This window comes from Homo sapiens, chromosome 10 (genome assembly GCF_000001405.40).
Source record: "Homo sapiens chromosome 10, GRCh38.p14 Primary Assembly".
Classification (NCBI taxonomy): Eukaryota; Metazoa; Chordata; class Mammalia; order Primates; family Hominidae; genus Homo; species Homo sapiens.
In genome coordinates, this window is record NC_000010.11 from 65,761,487 (window position 1) to 65,781,748 (window position 20,262).

The 20,262-nt window shown below is 36.1% G+C and overlaps 2 long non-coding RNA genes across 2 annotated transcripts in view; one reads left to right on the forward strand and one right to left on the reverse strand.

Annotated features, from left to right (window-relative positions):
• Window positions 1–5,055, forward strand: part of LINC01515 (long intergenic non-protein coding RNA 1515) — a 195,117-nt gene extending 190,062 nt beyond the window's left edge. The window contains exon 6 of the long non-coding RNA NR_120647.1: window positions 4,992–5,055. This is a non-coding gene — a long non-coding RNA (long intergenic non-protein coding RNA 1515). The remainder of the gene's footprint in view (window positions 1–4,991) is intronic.
• LOC105378339 (uncharacterized) overlaps window positions 1–20,262 on the reverse strand; it is a 145,924-nt gene that overhangs the window by 15,906 nt on the left and 109,756 nt on the right. The window lies entirely within an intron of this gene.

Genomic DNA, 20,262 nt, shown 5'->3' on the forward strand with positions numbered 1-20,262 from the left:
TGGCAGGAGGTAAAAGGCACTTCTTACATGGTGGCAGCAAGAGAAAAATGAGGAAGATGCAAAAGTGGAAAACCCTGATAAAACCATCAGATCTCGTGAGATTTATTCACTACCATGAGAACAAGATGTAGGCTGGGAGGCTAGGCTCATCTCGTCTCTTTGCATTTTTCTGCCTGCTTTATATTCGCTGGTGGCTGATTAGATAAGATGGTGCCCACTTGATTAAGGGTGGGTCTGCCTTCCTCAACCCACTGACCCAAATGTTAATCTCCTTTGGCAACACCCTCACAGACACACTCAGGATCAATATTGCATCCTTCAATCCAATCAAGTTGACACTCAATATTAACCATCACATAGCCTAAGCGTTCACGGGCTCAGGATCATTGTCTTCCACCTCCTCATCTTGTCCCACTGGAAGGTCTTGAGGGGCAGTAACGCACATGCAGCTATCCACTATGATGACAATGTCTTATTCTCGACCTGCCTGAGGCTGTTTTATAGTTAGCTTTTTTAAATAAGTAGAATATGTTCTAAAATAATGTCAGGCAAGGTGCAGTGGCTCACGCCTGTAATCCCAGCACTTTGGGAGGCCGAGGCAGATGGATCACGAGGTCAGGAGATCGAGACCATCCCGGCTAACACGGTGAAACCCTGTCTCTACTAAAAATACAAAAAATTAGCCGAGCGTGGTGGTGGTGGGCACCTGTAGTCCCAGCTACTCGGGAGGCTGAGGCAGGAGAATGGCGTGAACACAGGAGGCAGAGCTTGCAGTGAGCCGAGATTGTGCCACTGCACTCCAGCTTGGGCGACAGAGCGAGACTCTGTCTCAAAAAAATAAAATAAAATAAAATAACATAAAATAAAATAATGATAAAAAGTATAGTATAGTAAATATGTAGGCCAGCAGCATAGTCATGTATTATCATTATCAAGTATTATGTACAGTACATAACCGTATGTGCTATACTTTAATAGGACTGGAAGCACACTAACTTTGTTTACACTGGCATCACCACAAACAGTAATGTAAGGACATTACAACAGCTACCTTGGCTACAGTGTCACTAGGAGATAGGAATTTTTCAGCTCCATTATAATCTTATGGAACCACCATCGTGTATGCAGTTCATCCTTAAGCAAAATGGTATGTGGTGCGTGACTGTATTTGAAATCATATTAGATATTATTTTGGTCCTTCTTTTCTTAATATCTTCAGCTAATAAGCATTTTCCCAGTGCACTTCAATAACATTGCCTAACCACAGTTAACATTTTCAAAGGCTATATGCAATTTTATTAAACTGATTCATCACAATGTACTTAGCCTTTTTCCTGTCCTTGGAAAGGTAGGCTGTTTCCAAAAGCTGCTGTTATACAGAAAACTACATTTAATATAGTTTTTGTTTATTAATGTTTCCAATTAATGATTATTTCTCAGTATCATTAAGCAGTTATAAAAATTCTAGGATAGACAAAGAAACATTTTAAAGAGGATACATGTTATCAAACTGCTTTATAAAATAATATTCCACTTACCACTCTCAAAATAAGGTCTTATTAACACTTACAAGCCTATGCCATTTTTTTTCTGACTGTTTTAAGCTGTCTTTCTCTGAGTAGGGAGGCAGGTCATTTTTATGTGTTTGTTTGCTGCTTGTATAACTAACTAAGGAAATCAGAAGTTCATTATCTTTGCTCACTTTTCAATTAAAGTCAAAGTGTTTGCATCTTCTTGCTGTGTACATACTTTTTATGTAATAAATAATGTATGTCGTTACAATAAATGTATTCCCATCTTTTTGATCTGTGGATTTTGACACTATTTTACATATGCAAGTTTTAAATTTTTGTAAAGTGTATCCATCTTTTGCTTTTTAATGTCTTCTATTATTAAATAAAAAGGAATCTACCCAAAATGATTTAATTTTTGTTCATTTAGAATACTTTTTTGTTGAAAGATATGACTATAACTTTATTATCATAAATTAATAATTTTCCAAGTATTTAGCCAATTGCCTCAATACTAGTTAATATAAATTCCTTTCCTCCTTGATTTGTGCTTTCTCTTTTATCATGTAATAAACTGATACATAATAGGTCTTATTTCCTAGCTATCAATTCTGTTTTATTGCTCTGTCACTCTAATTTTATATCAGCTTCATATTATTAAAATTAGTTCTGAGATGGCTAATGCCCCCCCTTCCACATTAAAATTCTTTTTGCAAGTCTTATTTGCTTATTGTACCTGATAAGCTTCAGAGTCATTTGGCTGAAGCTCAAAATTAAATTCTATTGAGTTATATAGTAGAATTAAATTAAATCCATTAATGAACAGGAGCTAAAATTTGTCTAAGAGTGGCTTCAATCCAAATTGTGGGAGATAATCTGGATTCATCACATAAGAAGCAGATATTTATAGTCAAAATCACCCTGATCAGTATTTCTTCACCATTGTGCTCCAAGATTTATAAATATTACTGCTTATCCACGTAATTTAGGATTTCATACTTATTAAATGTTGATATTCAGTATCTGAGAATAGCTTGTATGCAGAAATTGTGGAATTTCAGTAGACATTCTATTGGCTAGTGTGGGACATAAGGGGCAATTAGACACCCAGATTAACTAAAGGATAATAAACACTGAAAGCCTTGCAAAAATATTACTGAATGAATTGCAAGGTTCACAGCCCAAGACTTACTCTTCCGGTCACAAGATTTTTTACATGTTTCCCCATAGTATGACAATTATAGGAGATTTAACTGAAAATTTGCAAAGAGAGAAAAGACTGTTCCTTCTTTCTGTATAAATATTGTTAAAAATGTAAATTTCTGAGCTATCTGGAAGTTCCTCTCCTATTTATATTAGTACACTATATTTGAAGACCCTGATCCACAACGTAATATTTGAATTCTATGCCATATTCCAAGTACTTCAAAATTAGACTTGGCACTAGAAACATTATCTTCATAAAATTTATTTGTATTTTTCATGAGAGATTTTATTCATACATTCTTTTTTATGCCTGAAAGAATAAAAGTGGCAGTTGCAATAGTTTTCTGCTTTATTTATATTATTATGATCCACTTGATTTCACATAAGATATGAGAAGTCTTGAATAAATTAAGGCAATTTAAGAGAAAAAAATTGATAAGAAAATTAGAATAAAAAAATACAAAAAGAAGAAACAACTAAACATGAGGAGAAATACATAATTTAGGTATGTTAGCCAATGTTCTACAAAACTAAAGTTGAACTGCAAATCTAGTTTAAACAAAATAGATACATTTTCAGCTATGTGACTCACTTTATCCATCAGGCTCACACTGCACTGATTTCTCAGAAGAAAAAAAATCATTTCCAAGGCCTTTGTTAAGAAGAAATTTTAGACATGGATCTCATAGTGGAGCCAAATTAGTGATGTGAAAAATGTTGCTAGCTACATCTTTTTAATAACAGGTGGTATAGATAGTTGCTTGTTAGATTTGATTTTTGCAACAGTCTTTAATGTCAGTCAATGTGATGGTGCTAAAGTGTAGGTTTATTGTCACAGTTTGAAGTGGGGAGAAAAACAAAGTGGCCAGTGTAGTCAGCCTTTGGTTCATTTGGCCTGCATCAAAGAAACTGAAAGAAAATAAGGAGTAGTCCAATTAAAAACTGCAAGTGTCTTTTAAATATATCAGTTCTTTCAACCTGACCTTTAACAAAAGTTGAACATCAAACCTTTTGATATTACTATGTTCATTCTGGTTTTATGTAGTTAATGAAAGGGAATGCATATATTTCACAAATTATCTGAGTGAATAGTATGGTCTTTGTTCTCTCCGTGAGAGTCAAGGAGCCAATGCCAACTGCTGCTTGTAGGACTAGTTACCCTGCCTCTGAAGAAGCAGGCTGAGGTTTTCAAAAGAGTGAGCTTGTTTCTCTATTACAATTGTAGTTTTTCTCATGTATTGAAACTCTACTTTCACTACATTTTCTGACTTCTTAATTTGTTTCTAATATTGATAACATTTTTGTTTTACATGTTGTTTCACTGGGCAGAGATTTTATCTCAATATTAAAATACAAGTGAGCTTTTTGTTTCTCTTTTATTTCTTTATTATCTGAAAATGTTACCTGAATTGTCCTTGAACTATACTGAAATCTCATCTATAATCATACTTCAGTATCTTCTTGTTATCTAGGTCTTTGCTTAAATATCACTTCCTGAGACAGAGGTTGATGGACACCTTTGTCTAATGTAACTGTTCACTTACTTTCCATCCTACTGCTGGGTTTTATATTCTTCACAGCACTTTAATATTTCTCCCCCAGCTAGAATGTAAATGACATAAAAGCAGGAACTATTAGAACCTAAAACAGATTCTACCACACAGTAGTGTATCAAGGCATATTGGTAATGTCAATGAATTAGACCAAGGTGAATGAATAAATGAAGAAAAATATTAATGTAATTAACCTGTTGACTGCTTAATCATGATATTGAATGGCATGATATTGAATAGCACACTAAAATATTTACCTGTCTTGTCTAATAATTATAAGATATCAGTGCTAGATTTTATTAAAATTTCAAGAATCAGATTAGTGCATTATTTATTTTATCTTATTTCTCAAAGTTATATATTTTACTAATATAACTAGTAAATTATATACTAGTTAGTAATATAACTAGTAAATGCCCTAACATTCCTTGCATATTTGGGATAAACCTTACTTAATTATAAGAGGGTCATCTTTACATATACTCTTCACTTCTATATACTATTAGTTCATCAAGGATTTTCAAACTTATACTTCACAATTTTTAGTTTATATTAAACATATTTATCTTTAATCATATGCCTTACAAAAACATTAAAGTTTTTCTTTGTTGACCACATTTACCTTTTTATCTTTTTTTAAGTCTGAAGTGTAAAATGGTCCATGCAAACAATATGACTCTGATATGCTTAAGCAATCAAAAATGTTATTCCTAATTTCCAGGGTGAGGCAATGAAAAGCCAATCTGTAATTGTCTGCTCTTTCTTACCCTGCTGCTAACTACTGAGGAAACTGCTACAGATGGCAGAGCCTCCATCAAGCCAGGTGGACTGAGTAGCGCAAACTCTCTCTTTACCCGTGTTGGACAGGTAATGTGAGGAAAAGTAAACTACTGTTTTAAGCCACTGAGGTTTGAAGATGGTTTGTTACTGTAGCATATTATAGTCAGACTTGATTAATAGATGAGGCCTCTAGGGAATTTTCTTTGGGATTTTCTTTGGAAAAATCCAAAGAAAATATTTGCCCTTCTAACTCTCTTTTAAAATTAAAATAAATTATGAACCAAAAAAATTATTTCTTATATCTATTTGGCTGACATCACAGCTAATATTAGATGATTTATACATATGGAATATTTTTCTAAAGATGTGTTTTATGTGGATATTTGAATATATAGAAAGCAATTTAAAATCAAATGAAATTATTTCTTAGGCAAAGAAACATGGTATGTATATGTTTGTAGAGATCTATGTATTTCTGTTTGTTTGTTTTTGCATGTGTCTATTATATACCTGCCAATGTGTCTAAGTACAATTTGGATTATCTGTAACTAAAGGTTCTATGGTCTAAATAATTGCATACCCCACCCCAAATTCATGTGTTGATATCTAACTCCAAATCTGATAGTATTAGTAGCTATAGCCTTTGAAAGGTGATTAGATCATGAGGGCAGAATCTCCTGACAGAGATTTGTACCCTTGAAAAGAGAGCTAGCTACTTCTTCCGCTATGTGAGGACACAGTTGGAAGTTGACATGTATGAGGAAAAAAGCTCTCGCCAAACACAGAGAATGCTGACACCTTGATTGTGAACTTCCCAGAATCCCAGAATTTAGCCTCAATAGAATAAATGGAAAATTTAAATAATGGATATTGAGACATAACTAGCACAATTATATAATCCCTAAACTATTATACATAGATCTGTCAACCTTAGATACATTTCTCTTTTTACCAAATCTAATGTTGTTTCTTCATATATTTGTGATAATGCTAAGAGGGCCTTAAGGACAAATGACATTTGAGTTATCAACTGGAACAAATTAGCACTCTGCTTTGGTGTTGGAGGATAAAAGGGCCCTATGACCTTAATGTAAATTATTTATTGGGGCATATTCCGCAGGGTTGTTTTTTTTATCATACACTCTGGTAACACACGTTTGTAGTGTGTTAATGCTAATAAATTGTATCTAATACTATGACAAAATGCCTAGTATACTCAACTGGGGTAATAAAAATCTTGCATTTTCCTGCCTGAAGTAATGCTTGTGAAAAAACAAAAATTCTCACTGTGATTCTATGGAGAATCAGCAATTTCTAAAGCCCTAATAAGTCATAACATTATAATGCATATATGTATATATATATGAATTACATATAAATATTGCATATATATGTGTATATATACATAAATATTTAATGCACATATATATTACATTATGTATATGCAAATATATATACATATATATTTACTTGTTCTTATTGATGGGGTTTACCATAAAACAAAATTAAAATTTTTCTTTGAACACTGCAATTTAGAAATATTTTTTATTGAACATTGACTTTATGTTCAGTGAAAATGTCAACTGAGAAAGTTTAAACAGCAATGATATAGCTTGGCTTTGTGTCCCCACCAAACGCTCATCTCAAATTGTAATCTCCACGTTCTGAGGGAGGGACTTGTAATTCCTACATGTCCAGAAAGGGAAGTGATTCTGAGGGAAGGAAGTGATTGGATTATGGGGGAAGTCTCCCCAACACTGTTCTCATGATAGTGAGTGAATTCTCACGATGTCTGATGCTTTTATAATTGGTAGTTTTTCCTGCACTCACACATGCTCTCTCTCAACTGCCACCAGGTAAGATGTGCCTGCTTCCCCTTCTGCCATGATTGTAAGTTTCCTGAAGCTTCCCCAGACATGTGGAACTGTGAGTCAATTAAGTCTCTTTTCTTTATAAATTTCTCAGTCTCAGATATTTCTTTACAGCAGTGTGAAAACAGGCTAACACAAGCAGTTATTTTGCTACCATCTACTGAATCTTATAACGTATTATATGAAAACACAGGGAATTGAAGTGATGCAGGAAATACTGGAAATCTGCCTGCCTGCTGCTACTTCTCTCTGTAGCATTGGAAAAACAAGTTAACTTCTTTGCTTCCATTTCATCCTCCACTTACGTGACAGGAAGAAGATTACCTGCTATTTCTAAAGAACTTTGAAGCTAAAAGCTAGTGTGTAACCAGAAAAAGTGCTTTAATTAGATTTCAAATGATTCAAGCATAGTCCAGTGTAAAACAACTCCCAAACACCTGGTCTCCTCAAATGAATGTTTTTCTACAGGACATAAGTGTATTTGAATTCCTTTGGGAAGTATATGCTTCATGAACCTATTTTAAGAGTTTTACTCTATTAAATACATTCATTCAAATCTTATACATCTATGTTTTAAGCTGATTGGACTTCCCTTTCTTTCATTGTCTCACCACGGAAAAAATAAATTCATAAAAGCATAGACTAAGTAAAATAGCTGACAAAACTGGGAAAGAGCTGAACAATTAAAATGCATATTTCAGTTAGCCCTAAGTTGCTTCCTACCTGTGAGGAGAACTATAAGTAAAAATAACTTACACAGTAAAATCTTTGAACTGTGAAATGGCTTACTAAATGTGAACGGAGACACACTGTAACATTTACAGATTAAATTTCTCAAAAATCATTATTTCACGTTCTTCTGTATGCAGCACATTAGCTCCTCAAAGTTTTCAAGTTTCCAGTTTTAAAAGTTCAAAAGTAAATTAAAGTTTGTGGGATGTTTGTGTTATTCTAAGGCAATTTTATCTTGGCTATTGTAAGACTGGTGAGCAATTGGGAAATGGTTTCTTCCGAATGTTGGAAAATAATATATATTTATGATTGTCTTACAGGATCCATAATAACTTTTCTTTTTAATGGAAAAATTAGTTCAGTTCAGATTTATTTATGTACTAAAATGTATGTCAATACTTCTAACCATTATACTAGAAAAACAGAGTTTTTTTCTGTAAAAATATAGCTTCGTCCTTTTGTTTAATACCTGAACCAGGGCTGGCCACAGTGGCTCATGCCTGTAATCCTAGCGCTTTGGGAGGTTGAGGTGGGAGGACTGCTTGAGCTGAGGAGTTTGAGACCAGGTCTGGACAACATAGTAAGATCCAGTCTCTATAAAAATGTTTTAAAAAAATTACCTGAAATATGATATCACAATTGTCCATCAGCAAAATTGCTAGGATTTAACCTAACAATTTTGGGGTTTTTTAGCTATATCTGAGTTTTTTAGAAGAAAGTCTTCTGATTCTAGCCTTCTTGCCTTTACAACATTACAACACAAGATCCCTGAGGCATTGCCACCTTGCTGCTCAAAGCTGCCTTTCATTAATGATTGCTGCTATCCCTCACACTGTTTTTGATTGTCTCCAGGAGTATCCATGGTATGTTTCTGTGGTGGGATGATGCAATGCTCTCCTAGGCAGTTAGAAAGTTGTTTTTGACCATCTCACATCCCATAAAACAACTTAGAGTGGGAGGTACAACTAACAAGAACTTACTGAGCATTTAAGATAACAGAAACACACAGGCACATCCAATAAAGTAAAGCTACTGCATAACCCCACAACACCTTAGGGCGTCATAATCTTATTTTCCACATGGATCCCACATCCTAGACCAGGAAAACTACTCCAGGCCTTCAAAACCCAAATAAACTGACCTCAGGTCCCAGGTAAAGGAAAGATTTTTATTTCAAACACAATTTTAAGGCCTACTTTCAGAAGTTTTATTCCCTGTCCTAAATGCTTTTTCCCAAAATATTTGACACTAGGGACAACGATTCCGTTAAGGCAAATGTCCACGCTCATTTTGTATGTGCTTGCTTTATGGACCTAAAAAATCAAAATCAATCCTAACATAGTCTAAAGTTGATTCATCTCCTAAAGTCTGGATTATTTTCTAGTTTATAGCTACCATTGTGTAGCAGTCTGAAGATTTAGATATGCTGTATTATGCTTGAAAAATTAAAATTACAATTTATGGCTGGGCACGGTGGCTCATGCCTGTAGTCCCAGCACTCTGGGAGGCCAAGGCGGGTGGATTGATTGAGGTCAAGAGTTCAAGAGCAGCCTGACCAACATGGTGAAACCCCATCTCTACTGAAAATACAAAAATTAGCTGAGTGTGGTGGCGGGCACCTATAATCCCAGTTACTCAGGAGGCTGAGGCAGAAGAATCGCTTGAAGCCGGGAGGTAGAGGTTGTAGTGAGCCAAGATCATGCCACTGTACTCCAGCCTGGGCGACAGAACGAGACTCTGTCTCAAAAAAAAAATACAATTTATAACATTTTATCAAGTAAATAGCACAAAATTATAAAATTATATAATTTTATATAATGTATAAAATATATATTTAACATTTTATTATATAAAATTATATAATTTCATCAAATTTTATATAATTTGTATATAAATTATATAAAATTAGCCAATGTATTCTCAATCAAGTAATTGCTTCTATTTTTCTTTTTGGAAAAATAACTATTTTCACTATCCACAAACATCAGATAATAGACAACTTGCTAATTTGAGGAGTTTTCAAAAACTTCGTAGAAAATCCATACTATGAAAAAGCTATGCATGGATTTCAATTATTTTTTGCACTAAACAGAACTGGTACTAACATGTTCTAAGATGTCTAAACAAGATCTAGTTTGAGGCACTAACAAGGTATCATTTGGAAAACCCTCTATCAGAGCAACATGAATTCTGCTAAAATTGAAGTAAGAACAAACATAAAATTTATAGTGAAGCTTGGATAGAAGAATGGTGAAATCACTGATGTTTTACTAAAAGTTTATGAGGACAATGTCCCAAAGAAATCAGCGGTTTACAAATGGATAGCTTGCTTTAAGAAAGGACAAGATGATGTTGAGGATGAAGCCTGCAGAGGCAGACCATCCAATTCAATTTGTGAGGAAAATAATTAATCTTGTTTATGCCCTAATTGAAGAGATACAATAACCAACACCATAGACATCTTGTACTCAAACACAGGTTTGGCTGCTTGCCACTCGAAGCCCAAACCTGAGAGAGATCAGAGTTGGTGGCAGGAAGAGCAGGTTTACTCAGAGAGCCAGCAAACCAAGAAGATGGTGGACTATCGTCCTAAAAACCATCTTCAGTCACTACAAATTTCAGGCTCTTTTTATGTTTAGAGAAGGGGGAAAAAGAGGTAATTTGGATCAAGTGGTGATCAACAATCACAGACATATAGGCACCAGTAAGGTTCCAAGGAGATTGAGAATTTCTTCATCCTTAGTCAGGTAACAATGTTCCTATAAATGTTTAACAAAACATTGTTAAAGGTTTACATACTTCTCCTTTCCAGAGTTAGTTTTAAAACTACATGATTGTTGTTTTTGCATGTTATCTTAGTGCTCCTAAATTATCCTTGCCTATGTACAGAAATGGTTAAAAGCCCTTTAAACAAAAATGGAGTTAGTTGTGTTAGTTCTTTTGCTGTTTCACTGTTATTATCTCAACTGATTCAGCTTAACCAATTCTGAATGAAAAATTAAAGTTGAACAAACTTTTCACTCAACGTGTGCCAAAGCTTTGTACCCAAATCAACTGTAGACAAGAGCACAGCTTTCAATAAAAATCTTAAATAAGTGAGATCACAATCCTGAACGATTTATTCAAAGCATTATAACAGGTGATGAAACATGGCTTTACCAGTACCATCTTGAAGACAAAGCACAATCAAAGTAATGGCCACTGAGAGGTGGAAGTGGCCCAGTCAAAGCAGGAGTGCACAAGTCAATAGTGCACAGCAAAAGTTTTTTCACATGATCAAGACATTTGGTTTATTGACTTTCTGGAAGGCCAAAGAATAACATCTGCTTATTATGAGGGTGTCTTGGGAAAATTAGCCAAAGCTTTAGCAGAAAAAAACACATGGAAAAGCTTCGACAGAGAGTTTTTCTCCACCACAACAATGCTCCTACTCATTCCTCTCATAAAACAAAGGCAATTTTCAAGAGGTTCAATGGGAAATCATTAGGCAGCCACCTTGTAGTCCTGATTTGGTTCCTTCTGACTTCTTCTTGTTTCCTAATCTTAAAAAAATCTGTAAAGGTCACCAATGTTTTTTCAGTTAATAATACAAAAAAAAAAAAAAACTGTGCTCATACAATTAAATTCCCAGGACCCTGGATTCTTTAGGGATGAACTAAATGGCTGGTATCATTGTGTATTAGTCCATTCTCATGCTGCTATAAGGACACACCTGAGACTCAGTAATTTATAAAGGAAAGAAGTTTAATTGACACACAGTTCTGCAGGGCTAGGGAGGCCTCAGGAAACTCACCATCATGACAAAAAGGGAAGCAAACATGTCCTTCTTCACATGGTGACAGTAAGGAGAAGTGCCAATCAAAAGGGGGAAACTCCCTTATAAAACCATCAGATCTCATGAGAACTCACTCACCATCACAAGAACAGCAGCATGGGGTAACCACCCCCATGATTCAGTTACCTCACACCAGGTCCCTCACACCATACACGGGAATTATGGGAACTACAATTCAAGATGAAATTTGGATGAGAACACAGCCAAACCACATCACATTGCTTATAAAAATATCCTGAACTTGATAGTGTTTATGTTGAGAAACAAAGTTTATATTTTTATTTTTAACTTTTTTTTTTTTTTTTTTTGAGATGGACTCCCAATCTGTCACCAGGCTGGAGTGCAGTGGTACAATCTTGGCTCACTGCAACCTCCACCTCCCGGGTTCAAATGATTCTCCTGCCTCAGCCTCCCGAGTAGCTGGGATTACAGGCGTGCACCACCATGCCCAGCTAATTTTCATATTTTTAGTAGAGACAGGGTTTCACCATGTTGGCCAGGATGGTCTTGATCTCTTGACCTCCCGCCCGCCTTGGCCTCCCAAAGTGCTGGGATTACAGGCATGAGCCACTACACCCAGACTATTTTTAACTTTTAATTCCATTTTTCCATGAACTTTTTGGAGTCCCCTCTTATTTACTAGAAAGATACAATGCTGTTTTAACACATTTAGGAGTCTCAGTAACATAACCTACAAGGATAGTTTACATAAATAAAACAGTATGGGTATTTTTCCAGAATCTAATAGAATTTTCAAGGTATTAATGAGTTCAAGAAGCTTAGAAGGTTATGTGTACATCTGTGGGGGGCATCTGGAATCATGCATATGTGCGATTTGGAAAGTTGAGTAATATACCAGAACGAGAAGACTTTATACACTGCAACTTTTTAAAAAATATTTTTATTGTATATATTTAAGATGCACAATATGATGTATGTGTGTGTGTGTGTGTGTGTTGTGTGCATGATTACTACAGTCAAGCAAATTAACATACCTATTATCTTACCTAGTTACTTTTTCTGTCTTTTCTTTTCCTGTGGTAAGAACACCTAAAATCTATTCTCTTAGCAAATTTCCATGATACAATAAATGTTATTTACTATCATCCTCATGCTGTATATTAGGTCTCTAGACTTTTTCATTCTGCATAATTGCAACTTTGTACCCTTTGACCTACATCTTTTCATCCCACCCTGGTAACCACTACCTTACACTGATTCTATGTATTCAACTTTATTTAGATTCCAGGTACAAGTGAGATAATGCAGTATTTTTCTTTCTATATCTGAATAATTTCACTTAGCTTAATCTCCTCTAGGTTCATCTATATTGTCCAATGTCTGAATATTCTTTTATTTTAAAGGCAAAATAGTATTATATTGTGATTGTGTCCACACACACACACACACACACACACAATTTCTTTATTGACTCATCTGTCAACTGACACGTTGTTTCTGCATCTTGACTATTGTGGGTAACACTGCAATGAACATGGGAGTGCAGATATCTCTACAAGGTGCTGACTTCGTTTCCTTTGTGTCTAAACCCAAAAGAGGGATATGATAGTTTTATTTTCAGTTTTTTCAGGAAACTCCATACCGTCTTCTGTAATGGCTCCACCGTATACTTTCTCACCAACTGTGCACAAGTCCCCCTTTCTCCACACCTTCACTAACACTTGTTATTGCTTGTCTCTTTGATAATAGCTATTCTAATAGGTGTGAGGTGATATCTCATTGTATAAAAAAAGCTGCTAATTGAAAATCACTTTTTTCTCTTAATTCTTAAGGTGCTTTTGCCAAAGTGTTGTGCAAGACATTAACTCAATTTTAAATAGACTCTTAAAAGTTCCATAACTTAAGCCTCTTCTTTGAAAGGAATTTCAGTACAGTAAAAAGTTCGGTGGAGTAGTGAGAACTCTAAATTGCTTTATCAACAGATGTAATATGATCAGAATAATTTGGAGATCACTGGTGAAGAAAGCTAACATTACACAGGCTGACATCTAAAAAGTGAAATAAAAATATGACCACAATAATTTATGTTTAAAACTTCCACCCCCTTTCTGCAGTTATATTTTAATATTTGGTTTTATTTCTATCCCTATGAGCAGATTCATGTTTAGATAGACTACATGATATTTTTTTTCTAAAAATCACCCATATCAGTATTTTGCAGTGGCCTATTATGAGAATTACTTCTTAAATATAGATTTTCAGTAATTTAACTTTCTTCCCAAAGAAAGATTAAAGACAGATACATTTCTATCAACTCAAGTAAGACCTTTCTGCTCTCATCATTTACATTTTCCCCCTTATCCTTCACACTGATTCTTAAGTTCCAACTATGTAGACCATAGTATTATTTCAAATGTTGATTTTTAAATGTGACACAAAATAAATGTTCAAAATGATACACAATTAAAATTAATGTAAATTCACATCACTGTCAGCGGATTATAGAAACAGAAATGGTGCATGTCATGTGCTTAAAACATAAGGAATAATGTTATTAACTAAGAGAAAACAAAATTTATAGCTTACAAGTCATTTTAAGTATAGATTTGTTTTGTAAACACTGAAAAAGCTAAGCTGTACTAATTTTCTAGGTCTGAAATGCCCTTATTTACTTATTTAGACTTCAAAACATAAAAATAAGTGCCTCCAAAGAAACGATAAAATTATACTGCCTTTAAATTCCAAAATACACCTTATTGAATTTAAAATATATTACATACAACTAGATCTGGAGGTAAAAGACAGTCTAAATTACAACTTAAAGCTATGTTCATTTCATGATATTTTTAATAGCATGATAAAAGTTAGATCATCTAATTATTTTTCATTAAATCCATACCCATTAATAATGTATGCTTATTAATATCAGAATAATAAAATAAAGAAAGGAAAATAAGAAGAGATTTTTGTTTTACAAATGTATTTCACTTTATTTACTTTTTATTTATTTATTTGAGATAGGGTCTTATTCTGTCATCTTGGCTGGAGTTCAGTGGTGTGATCATGGCTCACTGCAGCCTCCATCTCCTGGGCCCAAGCTATCCTCCCACCTCTGCCTCTCGAGTAGCTGGCACTACAGGCATGCACCACTGTGTGGGGCTAATTTTTTAAATTTTTTATAGAGATAAGGTCTCTATGTCTATGTTGCCTAGGATGGTCTCGAACTCCTGGCTTCTAGCGATGCTCCCACCTCGGCCTCCTAAACTCCTGGGATTCAAGGCGTGAGCCACCATGCTCAGTCAATTTTCTTTTATTTTTAGCAGCTTTATTGAGATATAATTCATATCCCATACCATTCACTTATTCAAAATTTGTAAGCCAATGGTTTTCATTATATTCATAGATTTGTGCAATAATTACCATGATCAATTTTAGAATGTTCTTATTACTCCCCAGGGAAAAAAAAATTTCACCCAACCCTGTCTCCCCAGCCCTAAACACACATTAATCTACTTCCTGTCTTTACAGATTTGCCTACTCTGAAAATTTAGTATAAATGAAATCAAAATAGGCAGTCTTCTGTGACTGAGTCTTTTCACTTACAATGTTTAAAAGGTTCTTTGATGTTTTTGCCTATAGCAATACTTCATTCCATTTTATGGTTGTATAATATTCTATTTTACAGTACAAAATTATATATGCATATATAATTTAAAAAAATTTATTCATCAGTTAATAGGCATTTGGTTATTTCCACTTTGATTATTTTGAACAATGCTGCAATGAGTATTTTTGTACAAATTAATGTGTGGACATACATTTTTATTCCTATTAGGTAAATGTTTAGGAACGGATACTGGCTGAGTCACATGGTAACTTCATGCTGAACATTTTGGAAAATTGCCAAACTGTTTCCCAAAGTGGCTGAACAATCTTGCATTCCCACCAACAGTGTATGAGATTTCAAATTTCTCCACATTCTCTTCACCACTTGTTAGTTCCTGTCTTTTTGGTTATAACCATCTTAGTAGGTGTGAAGTGGTATTGCATTGTGACTTTGATTTACATTTCCCTAATGACTAAGGATATCAAGCATCTTTGAATGTGCTGTTCACCATTTGTAAATTTTCTTTGAGAAAAAGTCTATTCATTTACTTTGCCAATTTTCTGATTGAGTTCTTGTCTTAATTATTGAGTTTTAAGATTTCTTTATGGCTTCTACTTACGAGTTCTTTATCAGGTATATAATTTGCAGATGTTTTCTTTATTTTATAAATTGTTTTTTAAATTAATGTTCTTCAAAGCAAATGTTTTTAGTTTTGATGAAGTTCAATTTGTTTTTGTCTTTTGTTTGTTCCATGTGCTTTTATGTCATATCTAAGAATTCATTTCCTTACCCATGGTCATGAAGGTGTAATCCCATATGTTCCTTTAATAATTTTATAGTTTTACAACTTATTTTATGTATTTGACCAATTTTAAATTGACTTTTGTTTATGATGAGAGAGAGACATTCATATTTATTCTTTTGCATTTGGACATCCCATTGCACAAGTATTATTTGTTGAAAAGATTATTTTTCTACCATTGGATGGTCTTGACATTCTTGTTAAAAATCGAATAATTGGCTTGTAAAAACTATACATTATTTAATGTATACAACTTGTTGAGTTTGGGGATAAGTATACACTACAAAACCATCACCATTACGACCATGAACATGTCCATCTTCTTTCTAACTTTTCTTCTACCTCTGTGTGTGGTAAGAAAACTTAACATGAGATCTACTTTTCTCTTCTACTTTTCTTCTTTTCTGTTTATGCCCTAAAGTTTACTGTCTTAGTGATAGCAGCTTAAAATAAGTAAATATTTGGTAGGATGAGTTCCCTACCTTGACAATATTGTCTTATTGCCTTAGACATTTTTGCCTTTTCTATTTCTTATTAATTCTTATACTCACCTTTAACTTTTGAAGTCTCATTTTCTCTCTCTCTTTTCTCTCCCTCTTCCCCCACACCATCTTCCTCTCTCTTTCTCTCAAACACACACACACACACACACACACACACACACACAACACAAGCACACAGTCACAAAGTTTCTGATAGCTTTTATAATAAAGATGCATAATAATCTGGATGAAATGTTCACTTCGCAAAATAGAAATAATCCATTCATAAACATTGTATACACCACCAATTATTTAGGTCTTATTTTATGGTTCTCAATGATTTTTCTATATCAAGAGGTTTTTTTTCCTTTTTTTATTTTTAATAGAGACAGGGTCTTACTATATTGCCTAGGCTGGCCTTGGTCTTGTGGCCTCAATTGGCCCTCCCACCTCAGTCTCCCAAGTAGCTGTAATCACAAGTGTGAGCCACTGCATCTGCCTATACCCAATTTTTGCATATGTTTTATTAGAACCATTCTCAGGTACCTTTAGTTATTATTATTATTACAAACAGTGACTTTTCTATAATTACATTTTTAGCAATTCACTGAAATTTTATTCCATTTCTCTGTTCTACCACCCTGAGAAATAATTAGCCTTCCCTTAGGATATCAAGACTTCTAGAATTCCAGATATTATAGCCAGGTATGTCAACATCTGGTTGATAAGGAGGGCCTTTTCTCCTAGCAGTCACTTTTAATTACGGATGGTACCCTTTTCTAGAGTATCACAACTGGTTTGCTGTTGGGTTTCTTGACTAAGATCAGGTCACATGCTAATCATGTCCAGCCATAAAGGAGAATGAAAATGTAAATATCTGAGTTTTCAGATGCTACACTAGAAAGTGGTTCCTTTCAATTGAGATGGGGTGGTGGTTATAAATGTTGGAAAACAGTAAACAAATATGAGTGAATGTTACAGCTTTCTATTTGAGAAAGCTCATTGCGATAGATGTTGATGGTGGCACCAGCCTGTCTAGAACAGCCATTGTGGGGATGCCAGCTGCTGTGCAGGAGGCACTGCTGAGGCTGCGTGCTTTGTGGAGCCAATGGGGTCTGGGAACAGGCGGGAGCTCCACCCCCTACTGAGTTGGTGAGGCGAGAGCCCCACACTCCTGGACACAGCTGCAGCCGCCCAGCTGCAGCTCTGGACCAGGGCATTCTTGCACTCTTGGGGGTCCGGGAAGCTCCCTGCCCCCACAGGCTCAGAAGTGCCTTTTCCTGCTCCCTGGCCTCTCCCCACTCTTGGTGCCCACTTCAATTTTGAAGCAAAGTTGAAGCTGAGCCCATGCACTATCATGACCTGGCAGGTGTGCGTGCCCTCGGGGAGGCGCTGACACTCCAGGTCTCCTGCTGCCTCAGCCTCCTCTGAAGCTTTGGACAATGAAGAGCTCAGGGAGGGAGGCTGGAGGTGGGATGGAGGGGCTGAGGGACGCTCAGCACAGGCCTTATAGGTGCCCTTTGGGGTGAAGAGCCTGGGCTCCAGTAACAGCATGTTGATGGCAGCAGGAGGCAGACAGGTTCCTAAGTGGAAAGGGGTGGGTCCCTGGTGAAGCCCCAGCTTCAAGCCAGGGGTGGCCTGAAGCCTGGGAGCCGGGCTGCCAGTTCTAGGTAGAGTCCGTCATGGAGAGTGAGAACTTATGGTGCTTTTTCCAGGCCCATCCGTGGCTGCCCATGGACCAATCAGCATGCGCTTCCTCTCTTCTGAGCTCATGAAAACCCTGGACTCAGCCAGACTTGCACACTCGTCAGGACAACATCCCTGCAGAAAGGAGCTACTTGCCATGTTTCTCCTCTCCTCTGTGAGCTGGAACCCCATCAGGACAACTTGCCTATGGAAAGGAGCTACCCACTTTGGGTCTCCTGAAAGCTGTTTTGTCACTCAGTGAAGCTCCTCTGCCTTCCTCACCCTCAAATTGTCCATGTATCTCGTTCTTCCTAGATGCAGGAAAAGAACTGGGACCTGCTGAATGGTGAGAATGAAAGAGCTGTAACACAAACAGGGCTGAAATATGCCCCCTGCTCACCACATTGTGAGTGATGAGGAGAAAAGAGCTGCAGCCCTTCTGGGAATGCAGACATCAGGTCTCCCTGAACTAGGGCTGTGGCACTCTCTTTGGGGCTCTGCTTTTGGGCACCATCGCATTCCCCTTGTCTAGATGCTGGTGCCCACAGCCAAAGCTGCTTTTAATATGCCTGGTCTAGCTTCAGTCTTCCATGGAGCTGGTGCCTGTGCCAGTGCCTGGAACCGCCCACCCCTCTGCCACAGCTGGAGCACCTGGCTGTGTGCAGTGGCTGGACCCTGCACTCACTTGCTCACACATCCCTCACTGCTCCATGCCTGGCTTGCCCATGGCAGTTAGGGGATGCGGCTGGTAGCACAAGCCGAGCAGGGGCTGCTGGGCTGAGTGGGTGGAATGAGCCCAGCGAGCACAAGCAAAACCTAAGCAGAGGCACCACCAGCCACAGAGGTTTCTGGCTGGCAAATTGACACCCTAGGAATCCCATGACAGCCTGGGCTCCCTGGTTGCCCACTGCATTCTGGGAGAGCTTAAGGATCCACTGTCTTTAACATCAAGTTTTCTAACCTATATCTGTTGAGACTTTTTAAGTTACATCATTTCAGAAACATTAACCATTTTTCCGTCAGAATCAAAGCCTGAATTCCAAATCTTTTGGTACCAGTAGCATATTTTTACAGTAATTTTCATTTTTCAACCCTGGCCGTTCTGATTTTGTAGTGTACCAGCCCCTACTCTGGCATGAGATGGAAAGGCTAGGGAAACTAGGGGTTCAAACATTGCATTTTCAGCTGTTTGAGATAATATAAGCTTTGTGTTATGATTCTGCAGGAAAATAAATAAGTAGATAAATAAATAGCACCAAAAAATAACCATTAAATGTCTCTGAGGGGCAGACTAATGATAAGCCATAAATTAGGGCATAAATACATTGATCAGCTGGCTACTAGCAAACCACCAGAACTCTGCCGCTATCTGGAATGATAACCTGTGGGATACAGTCAACTTTCTGCCAGAGCTCCATTTGAGCTTGAGCCTGTCATACTCAGCTGATGCCCAAGTGACCCCTTCTCTCATCTTTCATTCATTTTTCATGCTTACATTTTCATACTACCCTGCTTTGTTCCCTTGCCACCTCTTACTTCCCTCCAGAGGTTTACAGCCATAAGTCAATGGCAAAAAAAAAAAAAAAAAAAAAAAAAAATGCCTTACAATACAGTGCCTCAGTGTAAGATTTAGAAAAAGCTAGAAAGATGACAAGTTGAAAAGATGTTCTCACCCTTGTAATGGGCTGACTCCTGAATCTGTGTTACCTTCTTGTACAATTCACTGACCTATTTTTCATTTGTTTCTTAACTTGGTTTTAACTTTGGCCTATTATTCTAAAGTTGGCTTCCAGAATCCAATCTCTATTCTAGTTATTCATTCTTTACTCAAATATAGTTTTAAGGCCCAGTCTTTGCCTAGCACACAATTGAAATGTTGACCATAATACCCCCTTGATATCTTTCTCATGCTTTATTCTCTGTGAAGAATAGCAGCGTGCACCTTTGTTTATTCCTCATGAATAAAAATATCAATAAGAATATATGAGTGAGAGCATAGTATGTATTTTATAACACATTGATTTGTCCTGTGACCCTAGGCAATATATATTTTATTAAAATTATACAACAATGAATTCATCCTGTTCTTCAATAATTTATCTGAGTAAATTCTTTACAATGGGATTTTTTAACACGGAATGTCACAGATAAAGCCTGGATCGTCTCATCAGAAATTTTTTACAAATTATTAAATGAACTGGCTATTACTTGGACTCACGGTTTCTAACCTTCAGTC